This window comes from Homo sapiens, chromosome 15 (genome assembly GCF_000001405.40).
Source record: "Homo sapiens chromosome 15, GRCh38.p14 Primary Assembly".
In the NCBI taxonomy this organism is placed as follows: domain Eukaryota; kingdom Metazoa; phylum Chordata; class Mammalia; order Primates; family Hominidae; genus Homo; species Homo sapiens.
The window spans coordinates 55,866,137-55,879,399 of NC_000015.10; the positions used below are offsets into that span (position 1 = coordinate 55,866,137).

At 35.3% G+C, this 13,263-nt stretch overlaps 1 protein-coding gene across 10 annotated transcripts in view; it reads right to left on the minus strand.

The window, feature by feature from the left end:
• Positions 1 to 13,263, minus strand: part of NEDD4 (NEDD4 E3 ubiquitin protein ligase) — a 166,696-nt gene that overhangs the window by 39,220 nt on the left and 114,213 nt on the right. For 7 of the 10 annotated variants that reach the window (NM_001284339.1, NM_006154.4, NM_001329212.2 and 4 more), the window contains 3 exons: positions 7,822 to 7,872; positions 6,279 to 6,340; positions 3,443 to 3,545 (listed from right to left, as the gene is read on the minus strand). The exons of 1 other annotated variant lie outside the window; for it this stretch is intronic. In NM_001284339.1, coding sequence (NP_001271268.1) covers positions 3,443 to 3,545; positions 6,279 to 6,340; positions 7,822 to 7,872 — 216 coding nt within the window. The remainder of the gene's footprint in view (positions 1 to 3,442; positions 3,546 to 6,278; positions 6,341 to 7,821; positions 7,873 to 13,263) is intronic. 2 more of the 10 variants (NM_001284340.1, NR_104302.2) reach the window with 2 other exon arrangements.

The following is a 13,263-nucleotide window of genomic DNA, read 5'->3' on the forward strand; positions in this document are numbered from 1 at the left end:
CTCCTGGGCTCAAGCAATCCTCCTGCCTTGGTCTCCCAAAGTGCTGGGATTACCAGCGTGAGCCACTGTGCCCAACCTTTCTTCTTTTTTTTTTTAAATTTTTACCTCTTTTATAAGAATTGTTCTCTCTATTTTTTCTTTTTATTGCCCAAATTTCATTCTCTTCTTTCCTTATATCCTCTTACTTTGTCTGCCCATCCATGTTGATCTTCCTTCTTTCTTTCTTTTCCTTTCTCTTAAATTATGATAATACAGGATCTAGCATACCTAAAATTTAGTCTTGCATATATTGAATCAGACTGTATGTTTCTGGTTTCAATCCCAAAACACGTTAAGTTTTTATATTTTACTCTTTTGAGAAAATATAAATTTAACATTTTTTGGTTGAATATAACCATTGATTACTTTTCCTTTAAGATTAATACAATTTATTAATAAAATAGTTCTCACTACTGCTGTAAAGGATTATAAAAATAGTGCTAGAAAAATGGTAGCAAAAGAATATTTCTTTTAAAGCTTCTTAGAGATTTCTCTCTTAAATGTCTGCTTAATGTATTTATATTATCTGAGTAAATTCAGGAAGAGAAAGAACAAAAATTAATTTAATTAAGGGCTTAAAAAAGACCTGTCTCAAATTTGTGGAAGTAGAGTTGTACAATCAAACACGGCTTAGAAAGACTGGATACAATGCCTCTATACAGTCAATTTTTTGGATAGAAGGCCTTCCTATTAAATATGTATCAGCTGCTATTCTTTATAAAATAACTTTCTAAGTATCAATGAACCTTATTTAATTTCTAACCGCAAAGCCAATATGTAATTGCTCACAATTTAATCAAGTCAAAGAGGGTCAGAAAGAAAGCATTCAGAGGTACAACCAACATTTTATGTTAATTTTGTAAAATACATACAACTAACCCTAAAGTTGCAAATGGTACAAAAATCAAATGTTACATAATTATCTATTATAGCCATACTTTACTACAGAATACAAACTACCTAAGAGTGAGCTTCATTTCAAAATTACAATTGTTTTCCTTAAATAGTAGAATTTTATATATACAGTCACAAACTAGCTGTCAAAGGACTAGGCAAGACTCCTCTAGTCATTAGCTACACAGAAGGTAAATAAGCACAGATTCATGTGTTTGAATTCCTAGGGCCTTTCATAAATAAACTCCTACAAGCTTACATCTCCTGAAATTATAAGGTGCATTCTGAGGGAATTCAAACACTGAGACATGAGACCGCAAAATGAAGTGAAGCAGTTCTCTCCACAGAAACTCAACTGTGAATAGGGTCCTATGATGCGTGCATGTGGGCAAAACTTGGAGCAGGTTACTAAATAATGAAATGCTGTTAAATTTTTTCAAGTTACTAAATAAATAATTTTCTTTCTTTACAGCAGATATCCTTCATTTCAAACAGAATTCCATTATTCGAGATACTCTGGTACACCAAAAAGCCAGGTAGAGAAACTTCTACTGAATGAATACTTGAAAACTTTAAAAACAATTATACGAAAATCAGAGAAAAATACCTAACAAAAAGTTAATCAAATAAGTGAAGAGAGTTCTTTGATCACCAAACCAGGGGCTATCTATACTCTGTGATTTGAAGAAAAAAGGTTCTTTCCTGGCTGGGTGCCGTGGCTCACGCCTGTAGTCCCAGCACTTTGGGAAGCCGAGGCGGATGGACGGCTTGAGGCCAGGAGTTCAAGACCAGCCTGGCCAACATAGTAAAACTCTGTCTCTACTAAAAATACAAAAATTAGCCAGGCATGGTAGCACATGCCTGTAATCTCAGCTACTTGGGAGGCTGAGGCATGAGAATTACTTGAACCCAGGAGGCAGAGGCTGCAGCGAGCTGAGATTGCACCACTGCACTCCAGCATGGGCCACAGAGCAAGACTCTGACTCCAAAAAAAAAAAAAAAAGGTCTTTCCTTCTATTATTATAGATTCTCCTGCAAAGCAAAATCTCATTAGTGCATTTAAAATTTTCCCAGAAAGCTCTGCTGCAAATTCACTACCTGTTCTAGAGCTTTTCTTTCTCAAGGTACATGGGCATGTGAGGTAGAGCCTAGCCCCTGGGGAAGGCCCTCAGCTTCACTGTTCTTATGGAGACCTAAGCAGGCCCTCAGTCAGAGGAGAAAGTGTTAAGCAAGGCAACAAATAAGAACCCTCCAGAGCAATTTGGTGCCATACGCTGTGTGCTTTGCTTTCAGTAACTGCTGTTAATATGGTTTGGCTGTGTCCCCACTCAAATCTCATCTTGAATTGTAGCTTCTATAATCCCCTCGTGTCGTGGTAGGCACTCAGTGAGAGGTAACTGAATCATGAGAGTGAGTTTTTCCGGTGCTGTTCTCATGATAGTGAATAAGTCTCATGAGATCTGATAGTTTTATAAAGGGCAGTTCCCTGGCACACACTCTCTTGCCTGCCACCATATAAGCTGTGCCTTTGCTCCTCTTTCACCTTCCACCATGATTGTGAGACCTCCCCAGCCATGTGGAACTGAGTCCATTAAACCTGTTTTTAAAGCTTTATAAATTACCCAGTCTCTGATATTTCTTCACAGCAGTATGAAAATGGACTAACACAGCTACTGAATAAATGATACTTCTTTTTGATGATAATGTGCTTTCAAAGGGAACCTCAACGAGCAGGTGTTTTTTTGACCCCTTTCCAAATCATAAATTTTTTTGCTGGAAGAAACCCTCGAGGTCATCTGATGCCATCCTGTCACTCTGCAAACAAGATCCTGAGGTTCGGAAAAGTTCAATGACTCACACAGGTCTGGCTAGACAGAGTGTGCAACTAGGATTCCAGTCTCCAAACCCTATCCAATTCTATTCCAAATACATACTTTCTGCCTCCTACTTGCTTACTCCAGATGCATGTAACTCTACACAAATCTTGACTTGGACTTTCCTCTCATCCTGTCATCCATGAAAATTGTTAAATTCTACTTGCCCCACATACAGAAGGCTCTTTATTAGATCACTTAAATTTTCCTTGCTCCCTAATTCCCCTCCTTTCCTATGAGCCCTCCCACCATAATAAGAATATTAACAGGACTTAAATTTCATAAAAGAGTTCCTAATCAGTGGAGTCTCCTCAAAATGTCCATATATTTAACTTCAAAATACTAAATTGTGTTCTTACTTTAATGGAGAATATACAGTTTTAGAAAACTTTGAAAAACTAGATTTATATTCTATTCTCTACTCCTTAACCTTTAAGAAGGCCATCAATAATGGCCATTCCTTCTACGGAAATATCCTTAGAGGGAAAACTATTAATGCTTGGGTGAAATAAACATCCAAGTAAATAATCTTCATTGCACATGTTAACTTCATTCAATAGTTATTGTTCTTCAGAGTACAGTAAAATAAGAAATTAAAATTTTTTTAGTTTAACCAAATATTTATAAAATCTCACCTCTAATTCCTCAGCCTGTTCTGCATTATCATCTTCTGAGCCACTGGTTTTAGGTAAATAAGTCATTTTTAGTCTCAGATAACCTTTAACTCTTGATTTGTGACTGTAGAAAAGAAAATAAATATTCATAAAACTTTAACACCGGGAGAAAAGTATTCAATTAATAAGAGTTTAATGAACACCCACTAGGTACCAGGGGGTCTACAAAGGGAGGTTCAAAGACAAGTTCCAGGGCAGAAGATATCTAGGGAAAGGAATAGAAGGTAGAGAAAAGGCAAACATATATAAATAAATAAATAAATAAATAAATAAATAATTGTTATGACACAAAGAAGATGCTAAGGAAGTTTAAGTGAACGATCAGAGACAATGTCAAAGAGAAGCTGGCCTTTGAGTTGGGGTTAGAAGACTGGGGAGGATTCTTACCTGTGGCAGTAGAGGAAAAGGCATATGAGTAAAGAAGAGGGCAAGATCCAGGAAACAGATGGGAAATTTGGGGTGCAATTAAGGAAATTGCAGTAGTTGAGTTTGGCTAGATTATAGGACATGTAAAGGGGACTACAGGAGATTGGGATGGTCCAGAGGTCATGCAAAATCAGACAACTTCAGACTTTATTTTGCATATTTTGGTAAATCACTGAGAATTTGGGGGATAGAGAAAGGTATCCTCAGAGATGTGCTTTAGGGATGCTAATCTGGCCATATTTTTTTGGATGACAGAAGAGTAGAGGGCAAGGCCTGATCAGTGTCTGAAACCTGCTACATCTCTTTGGCAGCTGTTTGAATCTGTCACACATTAATTTACCTAATCTATTTTTATATTGTATCACCTTTTTGAATAATCAGTTGTCTAAGCTAAAGGCTGCTGCCTGCTGTAGTAATATTTTAAATCTTTTGAAAACCTGTCTTTCATAAGCTGCTGCTGCTTTTTTTTTCTTCTTCTTCTTCTTCTTTTTTTTTTTTTTTTTGTTTTGAGACAGCATCTCCCTCTGTCGCCCAGGATGAAGCACAGTGGCTCAATTACGGTTCACTGCAGCCTTGACCTCCCAGGCTCAGGTGATCTTCACACCTTAGCCTCCTAAATAACTGGGACTACAGGCACACACTGCCATGCCCGGTTAATTTTTGTATTTTTTTGTAGAGACAGGGTTTTGCCATGTTGCCCAGGCTGGTCTGGAATTCCTGGGCTCAAGCAATCCACCCACCTAAGCCTCCCAAAGTGCTACAATTACAATGCTTTCATAAGGTTCTAATTTAAGGCTTAATTCTATTGTCCTCATCAATTCTAGTATCCTATGATTTACTTAAGAAATCCTTACTTGTCTCAGCTCTCTATATAGATTTTTTGGGGATGATTTTTTACAGATATCAGATATGTAGCAATTACCCTTTGTCTTTCTAGACAAGAGTCCTAATCCTTTTATTCTGTCTTCAAGAGATTACCTACCCCCACTCCCAAGCCTCCCCTAATCTTTTTAGCTCTTCTCTGTATGGTTCTCATGGATTTGGCAAATTTAGTGTATCCTTTCATGAGTAGTCAGTGAAATCCTGATGCTTATTCCCAAGGCCGCTAATGTGGCTTGTGTCTCCATACTGAAGGAGATGTGAACATTCTGACTTGTGGCTATAAAAGATGGATACAGAAAATGTGCTCAGACAATGTTTTGTTGAAAAGTTTCTCTACAATTGTATGTTTCATGTCTTTTCAATTGGAAAAGAAGCCTCAAGGTTTTGACTTAATGGGGCTCACACAAATTTAGGAATGTAGTACATTTTCTATCTGAATAAAGTTCTTTCTACACTTGCAATAATATTCATTGCAGACAGAAGAAACAAATTGTATTTTTTAAAGATAAAGACGCTAGAAAGCATGTGACAAATTGAAAAGCAGGCTGCTAGGACAATCAAATAAGAAAAAACAATTTAGTTATTCTTGATATGCAGATGTCACAATCAGTCTAAAATTAAAAGACTAAAAGAGATTTACATTCCAGACATCTACAGAAATTAAATGTGACTTCCTTTATAGAGAGTAAATATTAACAGTCAGTGAGCACTCCTTTTCATTTTTTTAATATTTACATTACAAACAGTAATTTAAAAAATCATTTTTAAGTGAAAAATTTTACTAAGTTCCAAAAGTACATTTTCAAATGCATTTTATAGTTTAAGAAACAAGACAAATACTGTTGCTTTCACAGATGTCCTTTCTCTGCTTTAGTTTGACCTTTTTGACAGTAAATCCACACACGTTTTCACTAGATTTTACTTGTCAATGAGGTATAGAAGATCAAAAGGAGTTTTAGTTACAGCTTAAATTTAAATTTTTTTGATAAACATCAAGTAACTTTGTTTGGGAAAATGGAATTATAAGCATGCTATTTGGGTTTTAAATTCCAGTCTTATGTTATTTTCTCTAAATATTTGAGTCTTCTGAAATACTAAGTATGCAAAATATAGTTAGGTTTTTCTGAAATTGGCTTTGTGCACGTCGAGTTAGGTAATGGTTTTAGATGAATTCATGTTTGTGATTTTTTAAAGCATAGTATGACAATATGACATAAATAGCCTTCTAGTCTGATAAGTATTAGGAGAACGAATCTTTCCCAAAAGGCTGTGATCACTTTCTGTATTTTCAGAATGTTTTGCAATGTGCATACAGTACTTTTAATCAGAAATAGCAATGAAGCTTTTAAAATAATAATAATAATAATAATAATATTTAGAAGTAACTTATTTACAGAGGTTTAAACCCTGAATTTCTAATAAGGCTACTGTAAGGTGTAATGAAGAGATAAAAAATTTAATATGCTATTATTATTTTATATTTACTGACCTTCTTGGATGAAGAACAAAATCCTTAAATGTATATGGTCTCTCCAATCTTGGATTTTCTGTCTAGAATAAAATAGTGGGTTTTCAAAATATATCTATAACACCAAAAGCATGTACTTTTCAAGAATACTCATGAACTATCACCTAAGGCATAATTTAAGTTGGAAGTGAGAAAAAAAAGTAGCTTTAGTTTATCAAATGCTAACTTGACAGTGCTTTCACTTTCCTGCCCAAGAGGAATTGCAGCCGACATCACAACTCAAATGAAAACTAGCTGAGCAGGTGGGTTGTGGAGCCAAAGGGAGGGCAGAAGAGAATAAGCAGAAAAACAGTATAGAGTGGTTAGTATGTTAACATCCCAAAAGAACACGGACTATGCACATGTCTGCAGGCTGGCTTGGTTAGAGCATAGAGATAATTCTAGGAGATCAAAAAAGTCAACAGCCTGGAAAGTAAGACTGGATTAAATATATTACTGAAAGCTTATGGTCCTGCACCCTGTTTAAAAAAAAAAAAAAAAGATTATGCTCTGGAAAGACTGTGGAGAGCCAATTAATATAACTCACAAGACTGAAAAAGAAGTATTTTTTCTCTTTCTTTAAAATTCAGCAGTTGTTAGTTTTTATTATCCTTCTCTGATGTTCTGCATTGTTAACTACCCAGTCTGCCTTGAAACTCCTTTCTTAAATTCTCATGACATTATTTTACTTGGCTCTTTTCCTGTTTCCCCTTGTCTGTCTTCTCTTTCTTTTCTGATCCACTCACGTTGACTGAGGGTCAATGGCTGGCCCTCCGTTCTTATCTCTTTCATCAGGAGAGCCCATTATTCTCAGAGATTCTGCTGTTATCTGGACAGTGATAACACTCAATCCTTCCAGTCCCTTTTCCCTACCTAGCTGATTTTTATCTCTCTGTCAGCAGTCTACTTTAAACTTTCATTTTCTTTGTTTCCTATCAAAACTCTGTTTGTCCAAAAATAAATTTTTTGCTTTTCAAAACAAAATGGCTTTTCTTCCTCACTTTTCTACAAGAGACGCCACTCTTATCTTCCAAGTTCAACTTGTATTATCTTTACTTCTTGCTTATTTTCTTAAGCCTCCATGTCAGACATGTGATTCAATAATGTTCTATTTTGCAATGTTTCCTGAATCTGTTTTTCTCCTTGCTATATTCTTAGTCCTGATTCTTAGTGTTTTATGTTTCCATTGTCGTAAACTATCTTAGTTTTCTTCTGTGAGCTTAGGCACTCCTCATTCTAGTTATTCAGCAGAATATTTTCAAACTAATCTTTTTTACACAATGTTTTCACAATGCCAACAAACATCAGAAATTCTCTATTTCTCACTGGGGTTCATGAACGGAAATCTTAAAGAGAAAATGGAAACGGAAAATTGAAATGAGTTTTTAGAAAACAGTATGCTCAATAAATAAAAGTAGTATACATTTGATAAATCAATTATTTACAGTAGCTATATTATATATGTAAGTATTTATTAAATTAAAAAAATAAGCCCAAAAGGAAAATCATGGACACCTATACCAACCGGTAATGGATAAAGTGGAACATCCACTTGACCTAGGAAATCATCTCTTGTCTATAAGAGAAGGAAGAAAAAATATAATTAGTAATACGCTCAATTCCTTTAGAAGAGTTTGATGAGATAGTGCCACCATTCACAGAAAATGTAGAGTTTTTTTTTTATTCAGTCATATGCAGCATCAATGGAAAATAAAAAGTAATGTGGTACAACTTCTGGTAATGGCAGAGTAGCATATATTAGATTAATCCTTCTGCAGATAACAATTATATTCTGTGACAAAATACTAAAAGAGCTATTTGAAAGTACAACAGAATGACCCCAAACAAGCAGAAACTGGAGGGATGTCAATCCTTCAAAGAAGGAACTACACTAGGTAAGATTCAGTATTTATATGGCTTTTCCTCTAGTAGTATTCTACAGTCCACATAATGCAGAGAGCCTAGAACTTAAGCTGAAATCTGCACTATTACTGGCTTGAGGAGTCAGAAGGCCTAGTTTGGGGTTGACAGCATATCTAGAAAAAGAGGAGAAACGTCCCAGAAAAAAAGAAGCCACCAGAGTTCTTCCAAATCTATATATAAACTCTTACCTAAATCCCTAGTTTTACTCTGAACTGAACAAGTGAAAATCAACAGATGGAAGACTGAGAGGGCTCAGCACTGATTTCAGCTGATGTTCACCAAAAGGGAAGCAGAATTTGGAGTTCAGCTATGTTAACTTGCTAGAACAAAAATCAACACTGGGCATGGAGGCTTACACCTGTAATCCCAGCACTTTGGGAGGCCGAGGTGGGCGGATCACCTGAGGTCAGGAGTTAGAGACCAGCCTGACCAACACGGTGAAACCTCATCTCTACGAAAAATACAAAAATTAGCCAGGTGTGGTGGCACATGCCTGTAATCCCAGCTACTTGGGAGGCTGAGGCAGGAGAGTGGCTTAAATCCAGGAGGCAGACGTTGCAGTGAGCCTGGACCATGCCACTGCACTCCAGCTTGGGTGACAGAGTAAGACTCCGCTCAAAAAGAAAAAAAAAAAGGAAATCAACTCTCCTCAGGGAAATATAATAAAATTCACTGTCTCTATTAGTTACTATATTCATTGTCCAGCCCACAATAAAAAAATTACTAGACATGCAAAGAAATAAAAAAAAAAACCCAGTAGGAAGAGAAAAAGTAATTAACAGAAACCAGCCACAAGATGACGCAGATCATGGAATAAGCAGACAAGGAAAATAAAGCAGCTATTATAAAGATGTTCAAAGGACTTAAAAGAAAAATAAGGTCATAATGAATGAAAAGATGGGGAACCTCAGCAGTGAAGGGGAAACTAAAAATGAATCAAATGCACATTTTATTTTATTTAATTTTATTTTTGAGACAGAGTCTTGCTCTGTCACCCTAGCTGGAGTGCAGTGGTGCAATCACAGCTAACTGCAACCTCTACTTCCTGGGTTCAAGTGATTTGTCTTGTCTTAGCCACACAGGTAGCTGGGATTACAGGCATGCACCATGCACTACCATGCCTGGCTGATTTTTGTATTTTTAGTAGAGACAGGGTTTCACCATGTTGACCAGTCTGGTCTCAAACTCCTGACCTCAGGTGATCCGCCTGCCTCAGCCTCCCAAAGTGCTGGGATTACAGGTGTTAGCCACCACGGCCGGCCAGATGTACATTTTAGAACTGAAAAATATAATACATGAAATAAAAAAATTCAATAAATGGGTTTAAAAGACAATTGAAGATGACTGGAGAAAAGTATGAACTTGAAGATATAGAGACAGAATTTATCTAATATGAAAAATAAAGGGAACTTGTGGAAAAATTTCAAGCAGTCTGACGTATGTGTAACTGGAGTTCCATAAAAGGGGATAGGTAATAGGGCAGAAAAATATTTGGGGAAAAAAACAGCCAAAATATTCACACATTTAGAAAAACACAAGCTGAGACAGTCAATAAAGTCAGTGAACTGAAGCAGGATAAACATAAAGAAAACATGGGTAGGCACACCATTATTAAACGCTGAAAACAAAAGATAAACAGAAAATCTTGAAAGCAGCCTAAAATACATTACACACAGGAGAATAAGAATACAAATAATGGTTGACTTCTCGTCAAAAACAATGGAAGCCAGAAGACAACTGAATGATATCTATAAGTGCTGAAATGGAAAATGTACCAAGAATTCTGTATCTAGCAAAAACTATCCATAAAAAAGGGAAGGAAAATAAAGATACTTTCGGATAAAGTAGAGATAATTTGTCATCAGCAGACAAATTGTTGGCACTACAGAATATGCTATAGGAAGTTCTTCAGGCTGAGGATAAGTGGCACCAGATAGAAATTCAGATCTAAAGAGAGTAATAAAGAGCACCAGAAAATGGTAAATATGTGGGTAAAGTTTTTTTTTTTTAAGGTACCTTCTCAATCTTTTAAAGAACAAATTGTTGTATACAAAAAAAAAATTGTATCGCTATACTATGGGTTTAAAATATATGTAGATGTAATAAAAATGACAACATTGTGCACAAGATAGGTGGAATAATCAAATCTATATTGTTGCAAGACTTATATTTTATATAAAGTGGTATGATTGACATAAGTTAATCATTAATTGACTGCAGAGCTAAAAAGCACAGAGAAGAGTTAAAATGGAATATTGGAAATATCTGACTAACCCAAAATAAGGCAGGAAAAGAGAAACAAAGAAACAGATGAGAGGAACAGAAATAAACTGCACATTCTGAGAGCTAAATCCAGCCATATAAATTATGACAAACTAGTCCAATTAAAGACAGAGATTGTCAAGCTGAATAAAAATGCAAAATCTAACCATATGTTGCCTATAAAAGACATCTATCATTATTGTTTAAAAATATTTTATTAAATGTTTTTCTTTTTTTTTCACTTTTTTTTTCTTTTTTCTTTTTTTTTAAAGAGATGGAGTCTTGCCATCTTACGCAGGATGGTCTCAAACTCCTGGGCTCAAGCGAGTCTCCTGCCTTGGTGTTTCAAAGTGCTGGGATTACAGGTGTGAGCCACTGTGCCCAGCCAACTTCTCATTTTAAAAGAATTTCAGATTTAAAAAAATTGCAAAAATACTGCGAGAGAATCCTCATATACTTTTCACCCAGATCCACCAAATGTTAACATCTTAAATAACCATATTATGATGATCAAAACCAGAAATACTATTAACTACTCTACAGACTTGACTCAAAATTCACCAACTGTCTGCCTAATTTTAGTCCAGGGTCCAATTCAGACTCATATATTGCATTTAGTAGTCCTGTCTATTTAATTTCTTTAAATCTGGAAAGTACCTTAGTCTTTCTTTGTCTTTCATAATCTTGACATTTTTGAGCAGTACTGACTAGTCATAGAACATCCTTCTAATATTTCTTCATGGTTGAATTTAGATTATGCATTTTTTGCAAGAATACCATAAAGGTGATGCTTGTGCCCTTCTCAGTGCATCATATCAGGAGGCACACGATACTGATTTGTTGCATTACTAATGGTATTAACTTCAATCATTTGGTTAAGGTGCTGTCTTCCATGTTTCTCAATATTTTCCCCTTTGTAATTAACAGTATCTTGTGGGAAAAGCCTTTGAGGTTATGTAAATAGCCCATTTCTCATCAAACTTTTTCTCACAAACTTTAGCATCCATTGATGATTCTTGCCTGCAACAATTATTACTGTGGTGCTTGCCAAATGTTGACTTTCTATTTCTACCATTTCCATTATTCTTTTTATATTAATTAATTATTATTCTGCTTAAGCAAAGAATTTTCCCCTTCCTCCCATTTATACATTCTAATTTATATCATCATAGACTCATTGATATTTGTTTTATATTATCTTATAAGATATAATCCATTATTGTTACTTATTTTTTTACTCAAATTGTCCCAGATATGGTCATTGAGAGTCACTTCAGGTTAGTTTTTGTGCATTTCTGATATCTTCTCAATTTTTTTGTGTACTTCCTTACTTTTTGGCACCACAAAAATGATTCAGGTTCAGCATATACTCTTCTTATCCCTGCTCTACAATCAATCAGCCACTTGTCCAGAGAACCCTGATAAATTTTACTGGAGAATCATATTTAGATATAAAGATCCGGGTTCAAGGTGCTTATTACTTTCAGGCTCAAGAGATGAACTTTGAATTCAAATATACAGATAAATTGAAGATAAAGGTATGGAAAAAATAATCAGGTATACAGTAAGTATAAGTGGCTATAATAATATCAGACAAATTAGATTTCATGATGATGAGTATTACCACAAATAAAAAGAAACATTTCATAATAATAAAGAGATCAATTCATAAAATATTACTATAAGTCAATAATATGAATCAATAATAAACAGAAAAACTGTCCCATTAAAATGGGCATAAGACTTGAACAGATATTTCAAACAAGAAGATAAATAAATGGTAAATATTATATGAAAATATGCTTATCACTATTAATCATCAGGGAAATGCAAATTAAAATCACAATGCAGTACTACTTCAAACCCCCTGGAATAGCTAAAATAAAAAAAGTCTGACAAAAACAAATATTGGTCAGGGTGTGGTGCAATCAAAACTCTCTTATAAAGTTAAACATATACCAGTATATGACCAAGAAATTCTGCTCCTTGTATTTTCTTAAGAGAATAAAAACAAATATCCTCTAAAATACTTCTTCAAGAATGTTCACAGAATTTCATTCATAATAGCCTAAACTGGAAATAAATGTCCTTTGAAAAATAAAACTGTGGGATATACAACTAGTAGAATTACTCAGCGATGAAATGAAATGAACGGATATACAAAATAACATATATAAATCTCAAAGAAAAGTGGTTTTTTTGTTTGTTTGTTTTGTTTTTTTGAGACGGAGTTTCGCTCTTGTCGCCCAGGCTGGGGTGCAATGGCGCGATCTCGACTCACTGCAACCTCCGCCTCCCTCGTTCAAGCGATTCTTCTGCCTCAGCCTCGCAAGTAGCTGAGATTACAGGCATGTGCCACCACAACCAGCTAATTTTTTTGTGTTATTAGTAAAGACAGGTTTTACCATGTTGGCCAGGCTAGTCTCAAACTACTGACCCCAGGTGATCCACCTGACTTGGACTCCCAAAGTGCTGGGATTATAGGCATGAGCCACAGTGCCTGGCCAGAAAAGTTTAATTATAAAAAGAAGATACAAAAGAGTACATGCTGTCCGATTTAATTTACATGAACAGTAAAAGAAAGAAAAAAGGGAGACTGGAAGAGTAGATGACAGCAGAGAGATAAGTGAGAGAATGAGTGAAAGTCCTAATACCAAACAATAAGGACCTCTCCAACTCCTTTGTTTCACTTGGCTTCTAGAATACTGGCAGACAAATATATACTTCCCAGGAAAGAAAATTCCTCTCTGGAACAACTAAGCAACCCAATGAGACAGACTTA